The 27,941-nt window shown below is 46.4% G+C and overlaps 1 protein-coding gene across 20 annotated transcripts, besides 6 other annotated features; it reads right to left on the reverse strand.

Moving 5' to 3' along the window:
- Positions 1-1,932: 1,932 nt before the first annotated feature.
- RBM23 (RNA binding motif protein 23) lies at positions 1,933-27,878 on the reverse strand. Of its 20 annotated transcripts, NM_001352766.2 has the most exons (16): positions 27,728-27,878; positions 25,757-25,895; positions 22,453-22,550; positions 20,057-20,132; positions 18,212-18,324; positions 17,062-17,109; positions 14,924-15,097; positions 14,335-14,388; positions 14,065-14,182; positions 13,823-13,975; positions 13,604-13,741; positions 12,990-13,055; positions 10,916-11,111; positions 10,709-10,828; positions 10,543-10,612; positions 1,933-10,462 (listed from the first exon to the last, which is right to left on the reverse strand). In NM_001352766.2, the coding sequence occupies exons 4-16, from the start codon at positions 20,120-20,122 to the stop codon at positions 10,459-10,461; spliced, it is 1,320 nt and encodes a 439-aa protein (NP_001339695.1). In that variant the 5' UTR covers positions 20,123-20,132; positions 22,453-22,550; positions 25,757-25,895; positions 27,728-27,878; the 3' UTR covers positions 1,933-10,458. The 20 variants fall into 20 exon arrangements, with proteins under 20 accessions (NP_001339695.1, NP_001339692.1, NP_001339693.1 ...); NM_001352763.2 differs by lacking the exons at positions 22,453-22,550; positions 25,757-25,895 and adding an exon at positions 20,515-20,632; NM_001352764.2 differs by lacking the exon at positions 25,757-25,895 and having other exon boundaries at positions 22,453-22,574.
- Positions 8,449-9,186: an enhancer, noted in NCBI's record as "OCT4-NANOG-H3K4me1 hESC enhancer chr14:23368929-23369666 (GRCh37/hg19 assembly coordinates)". NCBI's record gives its function as "activates a minimal SCP1, AML or CMV promoter by ChIP-STARR-seq in naive H9 embryonic stem cells {active_cell/tissue: H9 hESC(naive)}" and the evidence as "EXISTENCE:reporter gene assay evidence [ECO:0000049][PMID:30033119]".
- Positions 9,204-9,273: an enhancer, noted in NCBI's record as "active region_8150". NCBI's record gives its function as "activates an Ori minimal core promoter by ATAC-STARR-seq in GM12878 lymphoblastoid cells {active_cell/tissue: GM12878}" and the evidence as "EXISTENCE:reporter gene assay evidence [ECO:0000049][PMID:35858748]".
- Positions 25,930-26,694: an enhancer, noted in NCBI's record as "H3K4me1 hESC enhancer chr14:23386410-23387174 (GRCh37/hg19 assembly coordinates)". NCBI's record gives its function as "activates a minimal SCP1, AML or CMV promoter by ChIP-STARR-seq in naive H9 embryonic stem cells {active_cell/tissue: H9 hESC(naive)}" and the evidence as "EXISTENCE:reporter gene assay evidence [ECO:0000049][PMID:30033119]".
- Positions 27,183-27,352: an enhancer, noted in NCBI's record as "active region_8151". NCBI's record gives its function as "activates an Ori minimal core promoter by ATAC-STARR-seq in GM12878 lymphoblastoid cells {active_cell/tissue: GM12878}" and the evidence as "EXISTENCE:reporter gene assay evidence [ECO:0000049][PMID:35858748]".
- Positions 27,423-27,532: an enhancer, noted in NCBI's record as "active region_8152". NCBI's record gives its function as "activates an Ori minimal core promoter by ATAC-STARR-seq in GM12878 lymphoblastoid cells {active_cell/tissue: GM12878}" and the evidence as "EXISTENCE:reporter gene assay evidence [ECO:0000049][PMID:35858748]".
- Positions 27,623-27,692: an enhancer, noted in NCBI's record as "active region_8153". NCBI's record gives its function as "activates an Ori minimal core promoter by ATAC-STARR-seq in GM12878 lymphoblastoid cells {active_cell/tissue: GM12878}" and the evidence as "EXISTENCE:reporter gene assay evidence [ECO:0000049][PMID:35858748]".

Here is a 27,941-nt window from a genome sequence, read left to right on the forward strand (position 1 = left end):
GACCAGGATGGGAAGCTGACTTTTCATTGTATGCCCTTTTTCTTTTCTTTTCTTTTCTTTTTTGAGACGGAGTTTCACTCTTGTTGCCCAGGCTGGAGTGCAATGGCACGATCTCACTGTAACCTCCGCCTCCTGGGTTCAAGCGATTCTCCTGCCTCAGCCTCCCGAGTAGCTGGGATTACAGGCATGTGCCACCACACCCGGCCACTTTTGTATTTTTGGTAGAGATGGGGTTTCTCCATGTTGGTCAGGCTGGTCTCAAACTCCCAACCTCAGGTGATCCGCCTGCCTCAGCCTCCCAAAGTGCTGAGATTACAGGCCTGAGCCACCGCGTCCAGCCTGTATGCCCTTTTTCTACCTTTGGAAATTTTTTTTTTTTTTTTTGAGACAGAGTCTTGCTCTGTTGCCCAGGCTGGAGTGCAGTGTGGCACAATCTCAGCTCACTGCAAACTCCACCTCCTGGGTTCAAGCGATTCTCCTGCCTCAGTCTCCCGAGTAGCTGGGATTACAGGTGCCCACCACCACGCCCAGCTAATTTTTGTATTTTTAGTAGAGACGGGGGTTTCACCATCTTGGCCAGGCTAGTCTTGAACTCCTGACCTCATGATCCACCCACCTCAGCCTCCCAAAGTGCTGGGATTACAGGCGTGAGCCACCGCGCCTGGCCTACCTTTGGAACTTTTAACTGTGTCATTTAGTACCACTTCAAAAATGAAACGAAATAGGCCGGGCACAGTGGTTCACGCCTGTAATCCCAGCACTTTGGGAGGCCAAGGCCGGTGGATCATGAGGTCAGGAGTTCAAGACCAGCCTGGCCAAGATAGCGAAACCCCATCTCTACTAAAAACTACAAAAATTAATCAGGCGCAGGGGTGGGCACCTGTAATCCCAGCTATTCGGGAGGCTGAATCGCTTGAACCTGGGTGGCAGAGGTTGCAGTGAGCTGAGATCATGCCACTGCACTCCAGCCTGGCGACAGAGAGAGACTCCGTCTCAAAAAAAAAAAAAGAAAGAAACAAAATAATTTAAAACAAAGCCTTAGGGGTCCAGAGAAAGAAGAGGGAACAAGGAGATCCTGGGGATATATAGATGGAGAAGGTGGAGAAGCAGCTGCCAAAGAGGTAGTGGGAGAACTAGGATTGAGCCTGTTGTGACTGCTGCCAGAGGAGGGGTTTCTAGGAGAGTATCACCAATGGTCAGATGTGGCCAGAGAGGAGGATGAGGAACAAGAAAGGCCCAGTGCCTTTTACGTGGCAGAAGCTTAAAACATGTCTTTCGTGTATGGAAGACCATGATGGCAAGACCTCCCCCACGAGGGGAGCCACACACCATGAGCCTCCCTCCCCCAACTCAGCCAGTCCCATCAGCCCGACCCATCTGTGTGTTCCCTCCAGACGCCTACAGGGAATAGCTCAGAACAGACGGAAGCTGAAGCCAGGCTCCCGCCAGACTTGGGAGAGGTGAGGCCTTCTCTGAGAGCCAGGCCATTCTCTCTTTCTCTCTCAAGGCAAAGTAGAGCCATTGATCTTGGCTGGGGTGAGAGGTCAGCAGAGGGCACTGGGACCTGAGCTGCCATGCCAGGTAAGGTCCTTTCTGTCCTCATGCATCTCTTAACCACTGCAATTTTGTCTTGGAGTCCGTGTTCCCTTACCAGCCCCTGCCCAGCCCCTGCTACTCCCACTCCCCTTTGCCCACAAGACCGCCTCATTGGCCCAGAGCATAGACTTTGTGTGCTCTCCCCTGAGGGTCAGAGGAACGGGGGAGTCCTGCATCTGGAAATTTTTCCACTCTGGGCCTCTGCCTACAGATGAGCTTTTAGGCCGTGCTGCATCTGAGCCCTCTAGAGAGACTGGAACAGGGGCTCTTCTCTTCTGAAAGACTGCCGGGGTCATACGTGGAAGTCCTCTGGGTTAAACCCTCACTCCCAGGAAGTTCACACACACACATCTTTTTATTAATCTAATATAGTTTCAATCCACATCAATCTAAGTAAATTTTCCTGGACATTTTAATCTTTCATCCACAAATGCTAGAAGACATTTTGTTTCTCTCAAGTACTAAACATCTGCAATATGCCAATCAGTGTGCCGGGCCCAATGGGGAAAACAAATACAAATAAGACACAATTTCTGCCCGTCAAATAGCTTGCAATTAAGCTGGGGAGATGGATGAGGTGATACAGCACAAAACAGGCAAAATAGCAGCAAACAATACCACATTCTATCTAACTGGGGGCTACCTCATGTGCTCCAGGAATTCTGAATGGAAGAAACAGTAAATTTGGAAGACATATTTTAGAAACTGGGCCTTAAAGGATATGTAGGCTATAGATAGTTGAGAGAAAGAAGGAAAAGCATTCCTTGTGGTCAAACTACATGAGCAAATGCACAGAGAAGAAACAGTGGGCAGCCCACCACATGAGGAAAAGGCCCTTCCTATAAAGAAGGCAGCAAAATTTGGGTGGATGGTGCAGTCGTCAAAGGACACAAATGCCGGACAAGAGCATACTGCTTCTCAGGCCTTTATCATCTCGGTGACTCCCTGATGGATATGCTTAAGGTCCCTTTTCATCTATTTGAATATTGATGTCAAGTTTCCACAGCTTAGTGGCCTTGAAAACTCCAGATGTGAATGCAAATTCAGTAAGCCCTTGAATGCTTTTCAATTAGTGCTCAGGATGTTTCCTGGATGGGGGTCTGTGGATGAAGTCACTCTTAACCTGTCTGGTTTGCTGAACTCAGCTATGCTATCCCAACTCTAAAATGAAGAATACCTACCTTATAGCGAAGTCATGAGGACTAAATAAAAGAGCAAAGATCTTTGTAATTTCTCAAGCATTATACAGAGAAGCGGTGGAAGTAGTAATGCCTTTTGCAACCTATGTCCTGGCCCTTTATTTAGGCATCAAAGCAGCTTGCTAAACTCTCAAAGCACAGCACCATTTGGAGATAAAAATTTAAGTTATGGTCTACAAAGTCCAACGTGCCTTCCATAGGACTCACGGGTAACACTTTTTTGGGTTTTGTCATCTGATGGAAGGTTGGGGGACAGATTGGCAATTGAAGCTCCACGATGGTATTTTACTGCATGATTTTCCATTTTTGTGTTCAAATTACAACTTGACTTTAAGCAGAGGACCTGTGCTGATTTAAAATACTTACTCAGGTCGGGCAATTGGCTCACGCCTGTAATCCCAGCACTTTGGGAGGCCGAGGTGGGTGGATCACTTGAGGTCAAGAGAGAGACCAGCCTGGCCAACATGGTGAAACCCTATTTCTACTAAAAAAAATTACAAAAATTAGCCAGGCATGGTGGTGGGTGCCTGTAATTCCAGCTACTCGGGAGGCTGAGGTGGGAGAATCACTTGAACCCGGGAAGCAGAGGTTGAAGTGAGCAGAGATCGCAGTGAGCAGAGATCATGCCACTGCACTCCAGCCTGGGTGATAGCATGAGACTCTGTCTCAGAAAAATACATAAATAAGGCCCAGCCGGGCGCAGTGGCTCACGCCTGTAATCCCAGCACTCTGGGAGGCCGAGGCGAGCGGATCACTAGGTCAGGAGATCGAAACCATCCTGGCTAAAACAGTGAAACCCCATCTCTACTAAAAAATACAAAAAATTAGCCGGGCATAGTGGCAGGTGCCTGTAGTCCCAGCTACTTGGGAGGCTGAGGCAGGAGAATGGCATGAACCTGGGAGGCAGAGCTTGCAGTGACCCGAGATTGCGCCACTGCACTCCAGCCTGGGCGACAAAGCAAGACTCCATCTCAAAAAAAATTAATTAATTAATTAAAAATAAATAAATAAGGCCCAGTGCAGTGGCTCAGGACTGTAATCCCAGCACTTTGGGAGGCCAAGGCGGGTGGATCACCTGAGGTCAGGAGTTCGAGACCAGCCTGACCAACATGGAGAAACCCTGTCTCCACTAAAAATACAAAATTAGCTGGGAGTGGTGGCGCACGCCTGTAATCCCAGCTACTCAGGAGGCTGAGGCAGGAGAATCACTTGAACCCAGGAAGCAGAGGTTGCGGTGAGCCGAGATCGCACCATTGCACTCCAGCCTGGGCAACAAAAGCGAAACTCCATCTCAAAGAAAAAATAAAAATAAATAAATAAAAAAAATACTTATTCAGAAAGGAAAATGCCAGTGTAGGGCTAGGCTCTGGAGACCAACAAAGACAGGTGCTTGGGGGAGGCTGAGACGCTAAGGAAAGGGTGGTAACAGAGGGTGCTCTCAGGCAGTTGTGGTGGCTCACACCTATAATCCTAGCACTTTGGGAGGCTAAGGAGGGAGGATCACTTAAGCCCAGGAGTTCAAGACCACCTGGGCAACATAGCAAGACCCCATCTCTACAAAAAATACAAAACTTAGCTGGGCATAGTGGCACATACCTGTAGTTCCAGCTAATCAAGAGGATCATTTGAGCTCAGGAGGTTGAGACTGCAGTGAGCTGTGATGGCACCACTGTACTCCAGCATGGGCAACAGAGCCAGACCCTGTCTCAAAACAAAACAAAACTGAGTGCCCTGGTATTTTTCCCCTGCCAGACAAAGCTAATGGTGTTAGGTACCTTGAAGGTACCTGTGAGGGGGGCTCATTTTGATTTTTCGAAACCATCTGGTTAAAATCTAACTATGTGGACAGAGCCTCAAGCATAAAGAGATTGGGCTAGTGGGATCTGTTTTCCTGAAAACTAGGCAGGTTGTGTGTGACCCAAGACCTTGTAAGCTTGGGGCTTCAGTGCAGGAACAATTTATTTATTTAAAAATGAAGATTTATTTTCACCATTGCACTGCCCTTGCTTTTCCCCATAAACCTTGAGCTCTAAAGTTGGGGAGAATGAAGTCAGCTAGAAAATCAAGTGAGTAGGCATCCAGAGGAGTGAAAATACTGAGGACAGTAATGAGCCAAGTTCCAAACCTTTCTCAATGAATTCTCACAACATCCCTATGAGATAGGTGTTATCATTTCCTTTTTACAGATGAAGTGTGAGAGAAGTGAAGTAACCTACCCAAGCTTATTCAGCTAGTTTGTGAGGGAAGAGGGATCTGAACCATGCTGTGTGGTTCCAGAGTGTGACACTCGGCTACAGGGTGGAGGTCCCCTAGCTTGCTTATGCTCAGGAGTTGAGGAGGCGAATTCTTAGCACCACTAATTCTAAGCAAGTAGGCTTCCTGATGCCTGAAAGCTGACTGAAACTCCCATCCTTTCTGGAACATTGGCAAGTTTGACGGGTCTCCGATTTCCAAGGTCATTGTTTCTCCTTTCTACAATCCGGCACTGACTGGCTGCTTTCCAGTCTTCAGGCACCTCATCCATCTACCCATTGCTCTCAAAAATAACTGCTTAATGGCTCTCCAGAAACTCCAGCCAACTCCTTAAGGGCTCTTGAGAGCAGATCATCTGAACAACTAATAGACTTCATCCAACTTTTTGAAGTGATCTTTGCTCAGCTCTTTCCTTGCACCCACCTTCCCACGTGATCTAAGTTGGTTGGTCTGCTTCACCTCACTTTCACAGAGCTCTCTCAACCAAGGGCACACCAGAGAGCAAACCAGTCCTGGATATAAAGCGCAAAAGTTATGAGAGAGGGGAAAGGATGTCTGAAGCTAGAAGATTCAGATATGCAGCTTCTCAGACCGGAATTCCTTTCCTGCATCCAGCTCGTGACTATTGCCTTCACCTGGTTGCCATGGAAACATCAGTCTCTGGTGGATGGCAAGCAGCACTTTAGAAAGAAAGTATCACAGGCTACCATGGTAACATCAGAAAGAGTAAAGCTGCATCTTCTCTCCTGGTGGAGTGAGGAAGGAATGGATGAGGCTGCTGGGAAAAGCAGCCTAGAAGGGGCAGCCTTTGGAAAGCCTGGTGCTGACTTTAACACTTTAATGAACAGCATTCATTCAATTCTACAGACATTTAATATGTGCAAGGCAAAGCAATCATGAGAAAGACATCCAAGTCTGGCCTCATCAGGCTGTAACCATCAAGTAATGGAGTTTTCAATAAAATAATTTTTATTGCAATTATTTTATTTACTAAATAAAAGTAGAGTAAGATGACCCACAAGAGGACAAAGAATACTGAAAAGAGAGATCAACTCCACCTAGGAAAGCTTCAGGGTCTTAAAGGACAGGACTTTGATCAGCAGAAGGAGGAAAGGAAGAGAGATAGCTGGCAGGTTAGATCACTCCCATGCCTCCTAGCAAGATGCTGAGCCTACAGTAGGTCTGGCCTCAAGCTGCTTCAAGATAAGGTCTGAGGCTGGCTTCTCAATGCACATGCCCATGCTATCTCCCAGGGCCCTTGTAGCAGAAAGAGCACCTTCAAGGTTCACCCACAAACACTGTCACTCAAGATAAGCAAAGACATGGCAGTGGAAAAATTCTGAGTCTACGGAGAGCTATGGGTACAGGGATAGGAAAAGTGACACTTCCTCACTGACTCCAAGGCCTTGTCTTCCATGGTGGTGCTGAGAGGCAGGTAAGGTTAAGATCAAGGGATCTGAAGCGAGAGTACTTGGATTGGAATCCCTAACTTGCTAACTTTGTGCTTATGGGGAAAATTATTTAACTTATTTGGATATGTTTCCTTGTTTACAAAGTAAAGATAATAAACTACTTGAGAGGATTGTTGTGAGGATTTTGTGACTTAATACACGATTAGAACACCTAACCTACAACCAACCTTGCATAAATGTTAACAATGACCATTATGCCACCTCCTGTCACCTCACCTTTCAGAGTCTCTTTTCACTGTCCAAGTGTTGCTGCCTGATTTTCACTAAAGCCTTTCCATTACACGGAAAAGAGGGACTGTGATATAATTCCATCCTTCAGGTTTTTACTCAATTCCCTTCATGATATGCTCCAGGACTAAAAGTTCACAGGTCAAGCCTCTGCTTCTACTGGTAACTCCTATCTGGGGGTTGTTGGGAGTCTGAGGAAGCAGGCAGAATTCCTGTGTCAAGAGCACAGCAGTTTAAAGAACAGGGAGGAAATGCTGCCACCTTAGTGAATACAGAAGCATAGACTGGAAGTCAAAAATCAGGTGAGAATCTTTTCTAGAACTGAAGACTGGTAGGGAAATTCTAACTATGCTGGCAAAGGATCTAGATCACAATGTCACCCCTACGCCACCAGCCACCATGTGCAGGTAGATGTTGAGGGAAGTTTCTTTTACCTTAAGCTGGGCCCAGAGTCTGTTCACAGCCCGCTTCTCTCCACTCTAACCACCTCGTATGGAGGGATGAGTAACAAGAAGGCACTGAGTCACACACGGACAGCAACTGTCACTCACTAGATACCATCACCTTATATGGAGTAAGACTGGAAATTGTCTTAGATACGTCCTTACTTCCAACATTGTCTCTCTCCCAGCAAGAGGCTATGTGAGGAACTAAGAACAAGAAAGAACTGAGGTGGAAGGATCCGAGTGTAGGAAGGCCAAGGTAGCTAGGGATGGAAACATAAGGAAACCAAGCAGAGGAAGGCAGGGAGGCAAGGCCTGTGGATATTTATAATAGTCTGAAGGAGCCAAGCCAGCCATGAGAAGACCCAGTTCATGGCCTCAGGATGACTAACAAAAACGGTACCCACTGCACTTCTCAAGATACATTAGAAGCCAAATCAATAACTGTAGGGGTGCTGGGTCATAGCCAGCAGCTTCTACCTAAAAATAGTGCATCCTCCTTCCCTTTTCCCCCGGTCCAGAAAGCAAACTAGGATAAGATGGGGGAAGGGATGGGGGTGGTAACCAGGAGAACAGCAACATCATGTGAGATCTAGGCCTGGAAGAATCAGAAATGCTGTGGTTTGAATGTGTCCCCCAAAAGTTCACATTGGAAATTTGACTCCCAATGCAACAGTGTTGAAGATGGGGCTTAATACGAGGTGACTGAGTCACAAGGACAGAGCCCTCATGAGTGGATTAATGTCACTATCACACAGCAGGTTATCATGAGAGAGGGCTGTTATAAAGCAAGTTTGGCCCATGGTCCCTTTGTCTCATGTACTCATTTCTACCTTGTGCCCTTCTGACATGGGATGACCCCCACCTGATGCAGGCACCATGCTCTTGAAATTCCCAGCCTCCAGAACTGTGAGAAATACACTTTTCTGTTTTTTTGAGATGGAGGCTCGCTCTGTTGCCCAGGCTGGAGTGCAGTGGTGCATCCTCGGCTCACTGCAACCTCCGCCTCCCAGGCTCAAGCGATTCTCCTGTCTCAGCCTCCTGAGTAGCTGGGATTACAGGCACCCACCACCATGCCCAGCTACTTTTTGTATTTCTAGTAGAGACAGAGTTTCACCATGTTGGCCAGGCTGGTCTTGAACTGACCTCGTGATCCACCCACCTCGGCCTCCCAAAGTGCTGGGATTACAGGCGTGAGCCAGTGCACCCAGCCTACACCTCTTTTCTTTACAAATTAGTCTGTGCTATTGTTACAGAAGCAGCAAACAGACTTAGGAGCTAGAGTCCCACTGGCCTTTTATGACTCAAGCAGGCTTCAAGTATTTAAATGATTTTGTGTTAAAAGCAACCCCAGAGGCTAACATCACTGGCTTAGAAGTCTGAGAGCTGACAAATTAAAACCTAACAGCAATTATCCATATTTTTAGCATAAGAAAGTCTTAGCATTTTGTTGCCATAGAGATCAAAAAAGGAGCCCCACAGAGCCCTGCCCCTGAATTCAGGCCTTCTCATTTGGTCCCTAAGCTGGGTGAGACAGCCTCTCTCCCACCCCCTTATTATTAAGGCAGTGGTAGGTGCACCTTCCCTTTCACAGAGGTATTTCTGGAATACTCAGTTCCCTACAATTCACTGGTCCCAGGCCTGTGTTATCCCAGGCAGAGCCACATGGAAAGCAGGAGTTGAGGGGACTGACAGAGGAACAACAGTAGACATCAGGTCAGGAGAACCCTGCTGTTATACAAGACCCAAACCCCTTTGGATATTGGATTGGGATCGCTACTACAAAGAGGGTCAAAGGCAGGTACAAAGGCCAATAGAGTTAAGAAAGCTCAGCTTAGCTCTGGTACTTAACTCTTCAAGATCACAACCCCCCCCCCTCCCCGCCCCGCCCCACTAGAAAAAAACAAGTGTAGAATGCAGTACTGTCATAGTGCCATCTGCTGGAAAGATCTGTCATTAGGCACAGAGAAGGAGCCTGTTAAGTCTAAGTCTGTCCTGGTGCTGCAACTTGGCTGTTTGGGTAATTCTGTCCAGTGGGTAGCTGGGATGGAGATAGTTAGGATGAAGATAGATGGAGAAGACAACCATAGATCAACAGTGTAATGCAGATACAGAATGGGAACCCCACCCAGGTGTGAGTTTTCATTTTTCTTTCTAAAGGTGGTTAAATAAATAAACACAATGATGTTACTAATGTTTTATATCCCTAGAAACATCATAAGTTGGGCTAATGAGAAGTTGTCAGACACACAACAAAGACCACACACAAATGGGCAACAGCTGCCACAAGGAGGAGGCTTGCCTTTTGTACAAAGTTTTTATGTATATATATATGTATATATATTTATGTACACAGACACAAGGGTATAAAATCCAGTGAGAAGGGCTCACACATGCCCAGGTAAGGGATGGGAGTAGCTATAATTGCCAGGGTTGAGGCCACAGTAGAGGCACACAGGAAGTGGTAGAGTAGCAGCCTCCCTCCATCCTCCTACCTCGGGCCAAAGGGAGGAAATGGGAGGAAGGACAAGTATACAAAGGAAGATGGAAGATACTGGAAAGGCATACTCCACCTTTTACTAAATTCCTGAAAGCCCCTAAATGCCTCACAGGACAGATCACTCTCACACCTCCTGGCAGGACAGATCACTCTGAGGCCTCCTGGCAGGATAGATCACTTCCATGCCTCCTAGCAAGATGCTGAGGCTACAGTAGGTCTGGCCTCAAGCTGCTTCAAGCTAAGGTCTGAGGCTGGCTTCTCAATGCACGTCCATGCTATCTCCCAGGGCCCTTGTAGCAGAAAGAGCACCTTCAAGGTTCACCCACAAACTCAGTCCTCTTGATTCAGAGGTCCTAAGGGTTTTCCTTGACAGACTAAAGGTTAAAGGTACAGGAAAAGGAGAGAGGTCAGTTCCTTCAGTATGCCCTATGGCCTTCCCAATGGGGGAGAAATTGAGGAATCACTAAGGTGTTGGAAAGGGCAAGAAGGTAATCTCAGAGACGATACACATGGAGAAACAGGTATTCAATGCAGGTGTGGATTCTGTTCTCTTCAACTGGTGGCTTTGCTCAGCAGAGTCCATTTCCAGTGGGACCATGGGCAGGAGCTTTTCTTGGTATCTTAAGGGTGGCCCCAATTTCCTCAGAGACAATGTCCATGCCCTCAGGATGGCTTGGTCCACAAAATGGAGAAATGGGGCCATGGAAGAGTAGATGTGAAGTGGCAGGATCCAGAGGCACAAGGAGGCAGTATACTGTGCCACTGATTTACCTGTGGAAAGAAGAGGTAAATGGGAAGCCAAAGGAAAGAGAATAATCAAAGGCTAGAATGAGCTAGACCCTGAGACTCACATGGTCTGGGGGGTAAAGAGGCTGGAGAGCTGGAAACACTGGGAGGCAAGGTTCAGGGCTGGACTCAGAGCTAGAACAAAGACAGGCAGAGTGAGTGAGCAAGCACCGCGCACTCCTTCTTTCCAGACCCCCAAACCTTCCCTTCCTTTCCCATGTCCAAGACTACCAGTCAGAGCTGCTGGATTCAGGGCCCCCAAGGGAACTGCTCCATTCAGTTGCAAGGCAGCAGCCTGGGCGGCGGCGGCAGCAGCAGCAGCAGCAGTGCTTGGCAGTTGGATTCCAGCGCCTAAAAGGAAAAGAAAAGGTGGGATTAAGCCCCAACCCTTCATCTAAAATTCAACCCCATAATCTTCACCTTGCGGAGATATTTTACCTTCTGCCAGTTTTGCCATGAGCTGAAAACGTCCACCTGCTGATCCCAGATCCAGCTCCTGGTCCCCATCAGGAAAAGTGATGTCTGTGCCACCATCCAGTCGCTCAGTCACATGGCCAACCCTCATAGGTCGACCAGCAAGCTCAAACCCATTCAACTGTTCCAGGGCCCGCCGGGCACACTCAGAATCAGAGAACTATGAGAAACCCAGGCCATGTTAGTCACCTACTCACCAAAGACATGCTCTCAAAGACCCAGTAACACTCCCTAGTCCTACTATCCCAGGAAAATTGTATGCTCACTGAGGTACAAACTTTTCTTTCCCAGAAAATATGACCTAGGCCCATCACCTCAAAATGGTTCTCTGAAAAGGACCTTTTCCAATGGACTCAATGGCAGTCACTTTTCAATCTTTCAGCTCCATTAAGAATCTAACAATGCAAAATTTTATTATTGTAGGAAACCTAGCCTGACAAGTTATTTCACAAATGGGTATATCAAATGGAAGACAAGCTAAGAACAAGGCTCCTGGGCTTTTAATTCAGTTCTCTATCCTAGTAAGTTTTAGTCTTTTTTTTTTTTTTTTTTTTTTTTTTTTGAGACGGAGTCCCACTCTGTCACTCTGTCACTGAGGCTAGAGTGCAGTGGCACCATGTCAGCTCACTACAACCTCCATCTCCTGGGTTCAAGCAATTCTCCTGCCTCAGCCTCCCGAGTAGCTGGAATTACAGGCACCCACCACCATGCCCAGCTAGTTTTTTTATTTTTATTTTTTAGTAGAGATGGGGTTTCACCACGTTGGTCAGGCTGGTCTCGAACTCCTGACCTCAGGCGATTCACCCACCTTGGCCTCCCAAACTGCTGGGATTACAGGTGTGAGCCACCGCGCCTGGCCAAATTTTAGTTAAGTACTAGGAATCTGGAACTCCTAATTCCAGGCTTAAGAGGGAACACACCCTAGTGCTGACAGCAAGGCAGAACCCACACCCCCACATACACACAAGAGCTGTTGACTAAGTGACCTGCTGACCAGAAGGCCTTTACTCTCTAGTCCCTTTTATCAGCAGCACCCAGCAACACACTGGTACAAAGAGGATTCCCAGTCTGCTGTTTGTTTAAGTGTCAAGGTTGTTGACCCAAAAGGCAACAATGCAAGGGCAAAAATGCCCCACAGAAGCCTTTCCATATCTCAGTCACACAGAGAGCGAGAAAAGGTTACAAAAGTTACTTGCCACCACAGAATTGTCAACACCACAGCTAGCTTGTTTAGCTAGCTAGCAGCATTACCTGCCTTAGGGCCTGGCATGTGGTACTGACAGTTCCTAGGCAGGTGTTATACATGGCTTGCCTTTACTGGATATTTTTGAGGTGAGCAATTCCAATGACAGAATACAACCTACTGCCCTCTGCCCTGTGGGTCACTGTGGGAGTGTATGCTGCCTGGTTTAAGCCCAGAAAATACAAGCTTCTATCAGACTTTGTGGCTGGCAGCCAGTTCTCAGCCTGGAGTCACATGGGGCTGGAAGAACCAGTTATAGGAATTGGCAACCATTTTGTTGGAATGTCAGGAAAAGGTGAAGCTTGCCCATAATTAGGTGGCCTCACTATTCTCCCCATAGTGCTACGTTAATAACTGATCCTTCTCGGTGCAGAAATTGCTTCAAATGGGGTAGCACCAGAGGGAAGTATAATTTCCTATTCCCATCCCTGTTATGAGAAACATCAATTCTATAAAGCATGTCTTTAAAAGCCCATACCTAACCTCCCTCACACCCCCAACCTTTTAGCTGCAGCCTGGTTACTATTACCCAAAGAGCCAAGTTGCAGCACCAGGGAAGCTGGGTGAACTCCTGAACACCCCCATACCAGGGCCACTGACAGAGTGTAGGAGCAAAGCCAAGATCTCAAGCAATGCACTCATCTCAAGGGGTAGAAGGCTAGTCCAAGCTTCAGGCACCAGGGTTTATGGGTCATTTAGACAGTTCCTAAAGGAGGAGGATGAAGCTAAGCTGCAAAATCAGACAAGTGGACAAACCCAAAGTAAAATAAAAAAATTAAAAGACTAGAGACTCACCGTGATGAAACCATAACCTTTAGAGCGGCCTGTATCTGAGTCCTTCATCAGGACAATATTATCAATCTGTAGAAGAGTGAGAAATTATCAGTAAACTTTTGACTAGCCCACATCTTCAATCTTTCCTACCCAGACTGCTTTTTTTTTTTTTTTGAGACAGAGTCTCAAAAAGTCTCACCCACTCCAGCCTGGGTGACAGAGTGAGACCTTGTCTCGGAAAAAAAAAGATTAGTCAGTAGAAATATTTTGGTAAAAGGTGGACTTTTTTTTTTTTTTCCGAGGCTCACTACAGCCTTGACCTCCCAGGCTCAAGTGACCCTCCCACCTCAGCCTCTCGACTAGTTGGGACTATAGGCGTGCACCACCACATTGGCTAATTTTTGTATTTTTTAATCTTTCTTAACCTGGCCTATTATTTGATTTGTGTCTAACTTATTTGTCCACCAAGCACATGAACAGAGATGGAGCCAAACTTTCACAGCATAGACTCATATGCCCACTATGACGTATGCAGCAGGTTAATCACGGCCAGGCACAACAGAGAAGTACACTCAAACACTCACCCTCCCCACTTCTTCCAATTCCCTTCAGAGGTTTCTCTCACTTCTACTCACTTTACCAAAGGGCTCAAAGATGCCCCGGAGCATGTCTTCAGTGATATTGAAGTGCAGGGAACCCACATAGAGGCGCATTGGTCCACCATTGCCCTTTTGCAGGTTGTTGGCCATGGCTGCCAGTCGGTTTTTCTCTGCCTGGGGAAGGAGGAAATGATGGGTCATGTCCCACATTCCCTCTCCCCTTAAAATCTTATGTCTGTTTCTCAGCCTGCTCACCTGTGAAGCCTGTACAATGATAGGCACTCCCAGCAACCGCTGCCCAGTCAGCCCAATGGCCAGTGGCACAGACTGGATTTCACAGAATTCCACGTAGGCAATGCCCTTAGAACGACGTGAGTTCCGATCTGAGATGATACGTACATCGCGAACCTATCCAGGACGCAAAAGAAATCCTGAGTTAGGCATAAAGGGAGATACAAGCTAAGCTACTCAGAAGAAAACTAAGGTGGGAGGGTTACCTTGCCTACAGCAGAGAAAAAGTCCTCCAGATCTCGAGGCCGAATTCGGGCAGCTAACTGCATACAGAAAACTGTGCGGGCATCACGCTCCTCAGGACTCAGATTATCAACTGGCTCCCTGAAGAGTGAAATGTGTTGAGACCAGCCCTCCCAATACCTGGTCATTGTTCTCCAGCTAACCCTCAAGTATTACACATTCCTGTAATTTGGCTCAAATAACCTTTTATTCATACCTCACAATCCCTAAAACAGTGTTCATTATCAACCCACCTGACTGGGCTCTTCTCTCTGAAATGAGGACTCTTACTGTGTCCATACCTATAACTAAAGAATAGAGAAAAACAAAAGGTGAAACCTTATTCTCATTGGTCCAATGCTGGGTCTTCCATGGTGAGAAAACCAGATTCCAGTACTTCATCTCATTGTTTTTTTAAGACAGGGTTTCCGCTGTCACCCAGGCTGGAGTGCAGTGGCGCCATCTCGGGTCACTGCAACCTTTGCCTCCCAGGCTCAAGCAATCCTCCCACCTCAGCCTCCTTGTGTGGCTAGGATTACAGACACACATGACCATATCTAGCTCATTTTTGCATTTTTTGTAGAACCAGGGTTTCGCCATGTTGTCCTGGCTGGTCTTGAATTCCTGAGCCCAAGTGATCTTCTGGCCTCAGTCTCCCAAAGTGCTGGGATTACAGGCATGAGCCACCACACCAGTAAATTTTGAATACCAACCCTTTCTGTGCCTGAGTATCCTGCCAATCACAATGTGTTATAATAAGCACCCTCAAGCAGGGTTCATAGTGCATTTGTTGTTTTATCCAGATTATTATACAAAAGTGAATCTATTAGCAAAAAGTGATACCCAGTGGCAAGTGGAGGACTCCTGTAATGCACACGATCCTCACGACGATGGTCCCGACTTCGCGACTCACTACCATGTCGACGATCCCAGCTACGGCTACGGTGACGACACTGCCGACCTGGACTTCGGCTCCGACTATTTCTCCGTCTATACCGATCCCGATCTCGACTACGACTACAGAGGGAAACAACTACAGTCATGCCCACATCATGTTTAGGCCAACAACCAAGTGCATATACAACAGTGGTCCCATAAGATTATAACGGTGCTGAGAAGTTCGTATAACCTAGTGATGTTACAGCCACTGTAATGTCGTAATGTATTACTTATGTGTTTGTGGTGATACTGGTGTAAACCAAACTATTACCTACTGCACTCCCAGTTGTATAAAAATACAGCACATCCAATTATGTACAAAGTGAATCTCATGAAGATAGAAAGACTAGTGTTTACTAGAGGCTGGGAAGGATGGAAGGATGGAAGGATGGCGGCTGTGGGTGGAATGAACAGAAGTAGATGAATGGATACAAATATGTCATTTAATAGAAAAAATAAGACCCAGGGCTGGGCGCGGTGGCTCACGCCTGTAATCCCAGCACTTTGGGAGGCCAAGGCGGGCAGATCACCTGAGGTCGAGAGTTCGAGACCAGCCTGACCAACATGGAGAAACTCCGTCTCTACTAAAAACACAAAATTAGACCAGGCACGGTGGCTCACGCCTGTAATCCCAGCACTTTGGGAGACCAAAATGGGTGGATCACTTGAGATCAGGAATTCCAGACCAGTCTGGCCAACATGGTGAAACCCCATCTCTACCAGAAATACAAAAATTAGCCAGGTGTGGTGGTGCGCAACTGTAATCCCAGCTACTCAGGAGGCTGAGGCAGGAGAACTTCTTAAACCTGGGAGGCGGAGGTTGCAGTGAGCCGACGTCGCGCCACTGCACTCCATCCTGGGCAACAGAGTGAGACTCTGTCTCAAAAAACAAACCAAAAAAATTAGCCAGGCATGGTGGCACACGCCTGTAATCCCAGCTATTCAGGAGGCTGAGGCAGGAGAATCACTTGAACCTGGGAGGCAGAGGTTGCGGTGAGCCAAGATCACGCCATTGCATTCCAGCCTGGGCAACAAAAGCGAAACTCGGTCTCAAAAAAAAAAGAAAAAATAAGACCCAGTGTTCAACAAATCAGTAGGGTTATTACTACAGTGTACAATAATCTATTATACATTTCAAAATAGCTAGTAGAGAATAATTTGAATGTTTCCTAGCATCATGAAAAGATAAACATTTAGGTCAAGGATAACTCAAGTACACTGATTTGATCTTTACAAATTATATGTATTAAATTTCACACATACCAGAAACTACATACAATATGTATCAATTAAAAATTGTTTAAAAATAAAACAATTACGTACAGTATATACTTCACGATAAAAAGTAATGATGTCACTGATTCATGTATTTACTATATTTATCATTCTAGAATATATTACTTCTACTTCGGTTAACTATAAAACAGCCTTAGGCTGGTCCTTCAGAAGGTGCTCCTAAAGAAAGCACTGTTACAGCAGAGTACAACTCTATGTGTATTAATGCCCTTGAAGACCTTCCAGTGGGACAAGATGTGGAGGTGAAAGACCCTCTGCAGGCCTAGGCTCATGTGTCTTTGTGTCGTAGTTTTCAACAATAACAATAATGTTTAAAAAGTAAAAGACAAAAAAATTTAAAAATAGAAAAAAGCTTATAGAATAAGGACATAAAGAAAACTTGTAGAGTTGTACAATGTGTTTGTGTTTTAAGCTAAATGTTTCAATTTTTTATTTTTATTTTTATTTTTTTTGAGACAGGTTCTCCATCTGTTGCCCAGGCAGGAGTTTAGTGCTGCAATCTCGGCTCACTGCAACCTCGAACTCCTGGGCCCAAGCAATCCTCCAGCCTTAGCCTCCCAAGTAGCTGGGAGTACAAACATGTACTACTACACCTGGGTAATTTTTAAATTTTTTGTAGAGACAGGATTTTGCTATGTTGCCCAGGCTGGTTTTGAACTCCTGGCCTGAAGTGATCCTCCCGCCTTGGCTTCCAAAGTGCTAGGATTAAAGATACGAGCCACTGTGCCTGGCCCAGAATTACTGACCTGCGCTTTCTATCCCTGCTTTTATTATGGCTCCGACTCCTCTTCTTCCTGTGAAAGAGAGTACATTCTTCTTTTTTTTTTTTTAATTTTGAGAAAGAATCTCGCTCTGTCGTGCAGTGGTGCAATCTTGGCTCACTGCAACCTCCGCCTTCCAGGTTCAAGCGATCCTCATGCCTTAGCCTCCTGAGTAGCTGGGATTACAGGCATGTACCATCATGCCCAGCTAATTTTTTATATTTTTAGTAGAGACAAGGTTTCGCTATGTTGGCCAGGTTCATCTTGAACCCCTGGCCTCAAGTGATCCACCTGCCTCAGCCTCCCAAAGTGCTGGGATTACATGCATGAGCCCCGCGTGAGCACCGCGCCAGGTCAGGAGTGTAAATTCTTAAAGAGAAGGTTTCGTTATTGCTGCCAAAGAAAAGGAATTACAGTAAGGCCAGAATGAAACAGAAAGCATGAAAAAACCAAAGACCCGAAGATGATCCAGCAGTGGTTCACAGCAATTGCACAATACCAACTTACAGCCCTGAAAGCTGTCAGGCATCTGAAGAGGCCATTTTTCCCCCTAATGCGAAGCAAAACCTGGTGTTTCCAAATCAGGGGTCCTCTTGCTATTTTTTTTTTTTTTGAGACAGAGTCTCACTCTGTTTCCCAGGCTGGAGTGCGATGGTGCGACCTCGGCTCACTACAACCTCTGCCTCCCATGTTCAAGCAATTCTCCTGCCTCAGCCTCCTGAGTAGCTGGGATTACAGGAGCCTGCCACCGCGCCCAGCTAATTTTTGTATTTTTAGTAGAGACGGGGTTTCACCATGTTGGTCAATCTGGTCTCGAACTCCTGACCTCAGGTGATCCACCCACCTCGGCCTCCCAAAGTGCTGGGATTACAGGTGTGAGCCACCACGCCCAGCCCCTCTTGGTATTTTATTCAAATGAAGTATATTGATGCTAGGACTAATCCACAAATCTACACTGGAAAATGAAGACTAGATAATTAAATCAAGTCACCATTATTCTCATGACCTAGGTGGAGCCATTACTAACAGTCAGCAGTCTTAACAGAAACAATCTCCCTATTCTGGTTATTTTTCCAATGGACAAAACTGTTTCCCTTCCCCAAGTTGCCAACCCATTTCTTCCTCCCACACTCACTTGCTTGTCTCCCCGATGGTGCTGCTTCCACTGGTCTCATTGCCACTGTTGCTGGTGCTGCTGGTGGTATTGCTAGGATAATCCTTTTTAACTTCTTTCCTTTGTTGCTCATCCTGAGGCATTCACCAGGAAAATGTCACAAGGTATAAGGTGGCAGACACACAGATTCCAATGGGCAAAGGGAACAAAGGTGGACAAGGAATAAATCAAACCACTTGATTATCTAGCCAGATTTTCAGCACCCTTATTTCCTAACAAAGGGAGTAAGAAAGGAATCAAGGAAACTACCTAAAAGGAAGAGATCAGCATGACAGATTTTGATGTCAAACTTCAGTTACCCAACATCTGCTCCACTAACATTTCCCAGGAGAGTTACAAATTGGTGCTAGGCTGGGGGCAGTGGCTCACGCCTGTAATCCCAGCACTTTTAAAGGCTGAGGCAGGCGGATCAATTGAGGCCAGGAGTTTGAGACCAGCCTCGCCGACATGTCGAAACCCCATCTCTACTAAAAATACAAAAATTAGCCAGGCATAGTGGCACACGCCTGTAGTCCCAGCTACTTGGGAGGCTGAGGCAGGAGAATCATTTGAATCTGGGAGGCAAAGGTTGCAGTAACTGGGATTGTACCACTGCACTCCAGCCTGGGCAGCCTAGTGAGACTCTGTCTCAAAAAAAAAAAAAAAAAAAAAAAAAAGAGGCTGGGCGCAGTGGCTCACACCTATAATCCCAGCACTTTGGGAGGCCAAGGCAGGCGGGTCACCTGAGGTCAGGAGTTCCAGACCAGCCTGACCAACATGGAGAAACCATCTCCACTAAAAAGACAAAATTAGCCAGGGGTGGTGGCACATGCCTGTAATCCCAGCTACTTGGGAGGCAGGAGAATCGCCTGAACCCGGAGGCAGAGGTTGTGGTGAGCTGAGAACGCGCCACTGCACTCCAGCCTGGGCAATGAGTGAAACTTCATCTCAAAAAAAAAAAAAAAAAAAAAAAAAGAAAGGAAAAAAGAAAGCGGTGGGGGGGAAAGGAAGGGAGAAGGAGGGAGGGATGGGAGGAGAGGGCAGAGGGAGGGAAAAGCAAGCAAGCAAGCAAGCAAATTGCTGTTAAGTGGGCCAGGTGCAGTGGCTCACTCCTGTAATCCCAGCACTTTGGGAGGCCAAGGCAGATCGCTTGAGCCTGGGAGCTCGAGACCAGCCCAGGCAACATAGCAAGACCCTGTCTCTATAAAAAATATATTAAAAAAGAAACTGGGACGGGCGCAGTGGCTCACGCCTGTAATCCCATTACTTTGGAAGGCCAAGGTGGGTGGATCATAAGGTCAGGAGATCAAGACCATCCTGGCCAACATGGTGAAACCCCGTCTCTACTAAAAATACAAAAATTAGCTGGGCATGGTGGTGCTTGCCTATAATCCTAGCTACTTGGGACGCTGAGGCATGAGAATGGCTTGAACCCAGGAGGCGGAGGTTGCAGTGAGCCAAGATTGTGCCACTGCACTCCAGCCTGGCAACAGAGCGAGACTCTGTCTCAAAAGAAAAAAAAAAGAAATTGGTGCTAGGTCTGAGGTACAGTGACTTTCTACTGTGTCACTTCGAGTTTTGAGCAAAGCACAGATTACCAACACCACATTATGTGCCCACTCCGGTTTCTGAGGTTGTCTCTAAAAGTATGGCTCTTAACCATAGTCTCCAGCAAAGCTTACTAAGACTATGCCTTTTATGATTAGTTATTCTACATAATAAATAAGCAGGGAAAGAGGATTCATAAAATGTTGAAAGTTGAAAGTGATGATCGACAACTACTCTTTCTCATTAACCCAATTCCAGGAGTGAGGTGGAAAATATTACCTCTTCTTTTTTATAGGGAGCTTCCAGCATGGCCTCAATCACTATGTCAAAGTCATCAGATGCCATCCTGTCAGATCTGGGGAGAGGATATTAATATGTAAGAATCTGTTTTATATTTTTCCTCCCTTTCCAGCACCACACATTTCTTTCCCACTCCAAGAAAGAGACTTCAGGATATACAGATTTCAGTTCTGTTTCTTGAACTGCAAAGAAACCTTACCAGCTGTCACTTACTCTAGGTTTATTTTTACACCCTATAGATCTGAACTAGTTCGACTTTGTGGCTTGGAACAGTCAAGGATAGTCCGGGCGCAGTGGCTCACACCTGTAATCCTAGCACTCTGGGAGGGCAAGGCAGGCAGATCACCTGAGGTCAGGAGTTTGAGACCAGCCTGGCCAACATGGCGAAACCCCCTCTACCAAAAATATAAAAATTAGCTGGGTGTGGTGGCACACACCTGTAATCCCAGCTACTCAGGAGGCTGAGGCAGGAGAATCACTTGAACCCAAAAGGTGGAGGTTGCAGTGAGCCAAGATCACGCCACTGTACTCCAGCCTGGGCAGCAATGTGTGACCCTGTCTCAAAAACAAAACAAACAAACAAAAAACACAAAAAACAATACATAAAAAAATAGTCAAGGATATAGAAGAAAACTGAGTATCTAGGAAGAAACAAAATACAACACTGATCCTGTTCTATGAAGAGAAAATGATGGTGGCCAAACTACTGTTCACTATAAAATAGACATTAGGTCTCCACTCTACTGTTCAAAATTCTGAATAAATACCTGGTTTAAACTCAAATAATAAAAACAGGCCTGGCTGCTACAGATGTGAGAAAAATATAAAACGAAAAAATAATAAACAAATATAGGCACATTATGTCCAATAAAAAGATAAAGAGGCACGACTAAAAATCAGAAGCAAGTCAAAGCAACACCAAAATGCAGATTTGCCCTAACGTCTTCCTCTCCGCATACCCTGAACACCAATAATTAGGGCCTTATCCCTGAGCATTTTCTAACCAATACCAACTACAGTTTAGGTAACTCAGAAATATGATGATTAAGACAGGCTCGACTAATCCCATCTTGAAACCTTTCTCTCTGGCAGGCAAGGTAAAACGTGCCTCCCCAAGCTTTCACATCTAGAAACTGCCTCTCCCCAGGCTGTCTACCACCAGTTTGTCAAATAAGAAAAACAGAAAATACCAAAGAAAACCAATAGGATAAATTATTCAAATGTTATTGGTCTGGAATTATCAACCCACACATGGATGAATCTCAAAATAATTACACGGAGTGACAGAAACCAGCCCCCCCCACAAAAAGTACACAATGAACAATTCCATTTACATAAAATTCTAAAAAATGCAAACTAGGCCAGGCGCGGTGGCTCATGCCTGTAATCCCAGCACTTTGGGAGGCCGAGGCGGGCAGATCACGAGGTCAACGACGAGGTCAACATATCGAGACCATCTAGGCCAACATGGTGAAACCCCGTCTCTACTAAAAATACAAAAATTAGCTGGACGTGGTGGCACGCGCCTGTAGGCCCAGCTACTCGGGAGGCTGAGGCAGGAGTATCACTTGAACCCAGGAGGCGGAGGTTGCAGTTAGCCAAGATTGTGCCACTGCACTCCAACCTGGAGACAGAGTGAGATTCAGTCTCAAAAAAAAAAAAAAAAAAAAAAAAAAAGCAAACTAATCACTATATCAAAGAAAGCAGAAAGCACATCAATGGTTGCCTAGGGATAGAAGTAAGGGGAAGGGCTGGGAGAAAAAGATTTTAAAAGGGCACAAGAAGGCCGGGCGCGGTGGCTCATGCTTGTAATCCCAGCACTTTGGGAGGCCGAGGCGGGCGGATCACGAGGTCAGGAGATCGAGACCATCCTGGCTAACACAGTGAAACCCTGTCTCTACTAAAAATACAAAATATTAGCCGGGCGTGGTGGCGGGTGCTTGTAGTCCCAGCTACTCGGGAGGCTGAGGCAGGAGAATGGCATGAAGCTGGGAGGCAGAGCTTGCAGTGAGCCGAGATCGCGCCACTGCACTCCAACCTGGGCGACAGAGCAAGGCTCCGTCTCAAAAAAAAAAAAAAAAAATTAAAAAAAATTAAAAGGGCACAAGAAAAACTTTGGGACCAACTTTGGGGCCAGGAGTTGTGGCTCACACCTGTAATCCCAGCACCGTGGGAGGCCAAGACAGGTGGATCACCTGAGGTCAGGAGTTTGACACCAACCTGACAATATGGTGAAATCTCGTCTTTATTAAAAATATAAAAATTAAGGCTGGGCACGGTCATGAGGTCAGGAGTTTGAGACCAGCCTGGCCAATATGGTGAAACCTCATCTCTACTAAAAATACAAAACATTAGCCAGGCGTGGTGGCACGCACCTGTAGTCCCAGCTGCTTGGAAGGCTGTGGCATAAGAACTGCTTGAACCCAGGAGGTGGAGGTTGCAATGAGCCGAGAACGCGCCACTGTGCTCCAGCCTGGGTGACAGAGCAAGATTCCATCTCAAAAAAAAAATACAAAAATACAAAAATTAGCCAAGCATGGTGGCGCATCCCTGTAATCCCAGCTACCTGGGAGGCTGAGACAGGAGAATTGCTTGAACCCGGGAGGCGGAAGTTGCAGCCAGCCGAGATGGCACCATTGCACTCCAGGTTGGGTGACAGACCAAGACTCTGTCTCAAAAAAAAAAAAAAAAAAATTTGCTGGGCATGGTGGCTCACACCTGTAATCCCAGCACTTTGGAAGGCCGAGGCAGTTTGATCATAAGGTCAAGAGATCGAGACCATCCTGGCCAACATGGTGAAACCCCATCTCTACTAAAAACACAAAAATTAGCTGGGCATGGTGGCGCACGCCTGTTGTCCCAGCTACTCAGGAGGCTGAGGCAGGGGAATCGTTTGAACCCGGGAGACAGAGGTTGCAGTGAGCCAAGATCGTGCCACTGCACTCCAGCCTGGTGACAGAGCAAGACTCTGTCTCAAAAAAAAAAAAAAAAAAAATAGCCGGGTGTGGTGGCAAGCACCTGTAATCCCAGCTACTCAGGAGGCTGAAGCACTAGAATTGCTTGAACCCAGAGGGCAGAGGTTGCAGTGAGCCAAGATCACGCCATTGCACTCCAGCCTGGATGACACAGCGAGACTGTCTCAAAAATACAAAAACAAACAAATCTTTGGGAGTGATGGTTTCACGGGTGTTTAACATATCAAAACGCATGAAAGTGTACACTTTAATGTATACAGTTTTATCGTGTGCCCATTAAATGTACCTCAATCATGCCGTTAAAAAAAAAAACCTGAGGAATTTCTATGCAAGGAGGCTATCATAATCAGACTTTTTCATAACTGTAAGAACTTTGTTGGCCAGCCGTGGTGGCTCACCCTGTAATCCCAGTACTTTGGGAGGCCAAGGTGGGTGGATCACCTGAGGTCAGGAGTTCAATACCAGCCTGACGGATATGGTGAAACCTCATCCCCATTAAAGACACAAAAATTAGCCGGGCATGGTGGTGGGCGCCTGTAGTCCCAGCTACTCAAGAGGCTAAGACAGGAGAATCGCTTGAACCTGGGAGGCAGAGGTTGCAGTGAGCCGAGATCACACCACTGCACTCCAGCCTGGGTGTAAGATGGAGTAAGACTCCATCTCAAAAAAAAAAAAAAAAAAGAGGAACTTTGTCCTCTTTAAAGCAGCTAATGCACTATGCAACAATGCTGCCTTGGTTGCCCTAAGAGTCCATATCCTATTTTGACAATTAAATAAGTGTAATAATTACAACTATGATTCTATGACTTACAGTACCTACAACTGCTAGACACTGTGCTAAGCATGTTATGGAGAGAGAAGATTCTTAGAGAAAAATTACTTGGAGCCAAATTTAAGGCTTAAATGGAAATTAAACCCAAATCAAATTGGTATACATAAAAACCAGTAAACTCAATTGCCTCTGCCTCCCAGGTTCAAGCAACTCTCCTGCCTCAGCCTCCTGAGTAGCTGGGATTACAGGCATGCGCCACCACATCCAGCTAATTTTGTATTTTTAGTAGAGACCAGGTTTTCCGTGTTAGTCAGGCTGGTCTCGAACTCTCGACCTCAGGTGATCCGACCGCCTCGCCCTCCCAAAGTGCTGGGATTACAGGCATAAGCCCCATGCCTGGCTTTTTTTTTTTTTTTTTGAGAAGGAGTCTAGCTCTGTTGTCCAGGCTGGAGTGCGGTGGCACAATCTCAGTTCACGCCAACCTCTGCCTCCCAGGTTCAAGCGATTCTCCTGCCTCAGCCTCCTGAGTAGCTGGGATTACAGGTGCCCGCCACTACGTCCCACTAATTTTTGTATTTTTAGTAGAGACAAAGTTTCACCATGTTGGCCAGGCTGGTCTCAAACTCCTGACCTCAGGTAATCCGCCTGCCTCGGCCTCCCAGTGCTGGGATTACAGGCATGAGCCACTGTGCCCGGCCTTCTACTTCTTCCAGTAACACTTTATATTTATTTAGCAATCAAAGGTAACAAATGCTGCAGACAGGTAATATATGATTCATACCCAAATTTTTTAAAACTAACGTTTTTTGAACTGCTCAAAGTCATACATAGCTCAAGGGCCAGGCAGAGGGGGTGGCTCACGCCTGCAATCTCAGCACTTTGGGAAGCTAAGGCTGGAGAATGGCTTGAGGCCAAGTCAAAATCAGCCTGGGCAATACAGTGAGGCCCCATTTTTACAAAAAATATAAAAATTAGCCACGCATGGTGGTGCGTGCCTGTAGTCCCAACTACTCAGGAGCCTGAAATGGAAGGATCGCTTGAACCCAGGAAGTTGAGGCTGCAGTGAACTGTGATCATGCCGCTGCAATCCAGTCTGTGCAGCAGATTGAGATTCTGTCTCAATCCCCAAAACAGAGAAGGTCACACAGCTCAAAGGGAAGAATGTTTTTTTTTTTTTTTGAGACAGGATTTCACTCTGTTGCCCAAGCTGGAGTGTAATGTTGCAATCTCGGCTCACTGCAACCTCTGCCTCTCTAGCTCAAGCAATCCTCTAACCTCAGCTTCCCCAGTAGCTGGGACCACAGGTGTGCACTATGATGCCAGGCTAACTTTTCATATTTTGGGCTTTTTTTTTTTTTCTGGTAGAGACATGGTCTCACTATGTTGCCCAGGCTGGTCTCAAACTCCCGGACTCAACAGATCCACCCACCTTAGCCTCCCAAAGTACTAGGATTACATCTGGCCAGAGGAGCTAATTCTTGATCAGAAAGGTTTTCTGACTTCAAATCTAACATTATATCTATTATATCAGATTACTTCTCATATGGTTTGTAATTAACTTTAAAGGAAAAAAAAAAGGACACAGTATACCAAGATACCTACTTTTAAATATATACTCACTGAACATGAATGTTCTTCTCATATGTTTATCAAAATAATCAGTCCCATTAGCTAAACCTCATTGTGAGTCTCCTATATCTGAGGCATGTACAGTGTATGCTTAAAGGTATTAGACTAATATACACTATGGGAAAATAGTTCTAAAAAGAAAAGTTTGTTTTTGTTTTTTTTTGAGAGAGTTTCACTCTTGTTGCCCAGGATGGAGTGCAATGGCGCAATCTCGGCTCACTGCGACCTCCACCTCCCAGGTTCAAGCAATTCTCCTGTCTCAGTCTCCCAAGTAGCTGGGATTACAGGCAGGCACCACCACACCTGGCTAATGTTGTATTTTTAGCAGAGACGGGGTTTCTCCACATTGGTCAGGCTGGTCTCGAACTCCTGACCTCAGGTGATCCGCCTGCCTGGTCCTCCCAAAGGGCTGGGATTACAGACATGAGCCACCGAGCCCGGCCTAAAAAGAAAAGTTTTTTATACTCAAGCTGTTTCAGTCATTTTTGCTGCCAAGTCTACACAAATTTTCTGTTATGAACTATTTTTTACAATCTGCTTTTTCCCCTCCAAATGAAATGCTTGATTTCAAGAACTGCTCATTGTTGAGTGCTAATGCGGGGTAAGAACAACTTAACACACACACTAAAACTTACACTTAAGTTTACAAGCCTCTACAAATAAACCTCTACGTAAAAAGTTTTCACTCAGAAACAAATATATCCGTTTAAGCAAAGCCATATACAACACAATATTTTGAAACTTGCAATCTCACTGGGTTTAGTGTCTTTCTAGATGTGCTAAAAGCAATAAGGTAGCAAACACTATGCATTTTCAGGCTGGTAGTTTTTTCTTTTTTCTTCTTTTTTGTTTTTTTTTTGTATTTTTAGTAGAGACGGGGTTTCGCCGTGTTAGCCAGGATGGTCGCGATCTCCTGACCTCGTGATCCGCCCGCCTCGGCCACCCAAAGTGCTGGGATTACAGGCGTGAGCCACTGCACCCGGCCCAGGTTGGTAGTTTTCAAACGCTCTCTTCATGTCCCAACTTATGGGTCAAGGTCCACTCAATCTCATCCACATAGAGTATGTTTTCTTCCATCCTGCTCCAAAAACAGTATTAGAGACCCACAATCACGTCAGTTCCTAGACCTCGTCATAGCACAAGCCAACAGATAGACCCCACTGCTAAAGGAGCAGAGAGAACCACTGTCAGACCAATTCGGGAAGAATTCACGAAAAGCTGGAGCCCCAGGGGTGATGGTAGCGCCATCCCCAGGGTCTGATCACTTAGCTGGGCACAAACACCTACAAACTGAAGGCAGCTTAACAAAAGAGGAACAATGAGAACGATAAAAGCTACTTGAAGGACCACCCTCCCCATGTTGTGTAGCTTTAAAAAATGGTCCTATAGGCCGGGCGCGGTGGCTCACGCCTGTAATCCCAGCACTTTGGGAGGCCGAGGCGGGTGGATCACCTGAGGTCAGGAGTTCGAGGTCAGCCTGGCTAACATGGCAAAACCCCATCTCTATTAAAAATACAAAAATTAGCCGGGCGTTGTGGCAGGCGCCTGTAATCCCAGCTACTCGGGAGGCTGAGGCAGGGGAATCGCTAGAACCCGGGAGACAGGATGCAGTGAGCCGAGATCGCGCCACTCCACTCCAGCCTGGGTGACAAAGCGACACTCCGCCTTAAAAAAATAAAAAAAAAGAGGTCCTATAGGCAACCAACTGGCACAATCTCTGCGGGAGCCAGTGTCCCAGGGCTCAATCTTCATATGTGGCATCATAATACGCCTACTGGAATGAGTGCTTGAAAAAGTTAAATGGGAAAAGCCCATAAAGGTCAACATAGTGAACATGAATCTTCGACAGACTAGAGATTGAGGAAGAAAGCTCAATTCCCTTCTCTCTCTCTGAATGGTGGTGCGAGTGGCTGAAACTGATGATGCGTGTCCTCTCAGGCCGCGGAGGGTCGATGCTCCCTCTCCAGTGTGGGCGACCCTAAGTGTCACGGCTGCAGAGACCCGGAAAGAAAAATCACAGGATTCTAGAAACCGCATCTTTATCGGTGCAAGATACAGCCACGAGGGTGCCCAACTCTAAAATCGTGGCAGTGGGCTACATTTAAGTAGCTAACACTTCCAGGTCAAAACAAACAAAGGTTTTTTTAATGTTAAAAGTTCGCCTGAATCTCTTCGTGACGCCATTTTCTGCCCGTGACGTCAGGGGGGAGGCGCCGTGCAGCAACGTCACGCATTGGTGACGTCTGGTGGGGACCGGGTTTTGGGGTTTCTCACCAGTTCCGGGTCCCCGCAGGGGGGTCCCGGTTCTCTCCGTTCCTTTGAGTATGTTGTGGGGAGTGGAGCTCGGATAGTTCCTAGAGTCTAGGCAAGAAAAGCAGCACTGCAGGTACAGAGCCTCCTCTTCCCGCAAAATGGCGGCAGCTCTGCCGTCTTCCAGAACCTTCCCCAATCTGCGCATGCGCCAAGACTCCCCGGCTTTGGAAATAAC

The sequence above is a fragment of the Homo sapiens genome, chromosome 14, assembly GCF_000001405.40.
Source record: "Homo sapiens chromosome 14, GRCh38.p14 Primary Assembly".
In the NCBI taxonomy this organism is placed as follows: domain Eukaryota; kingdom Metazoa; phylum Chordata; class Mammalia; order Primates; family Hominidae; genus Homo; species Homo sapiens.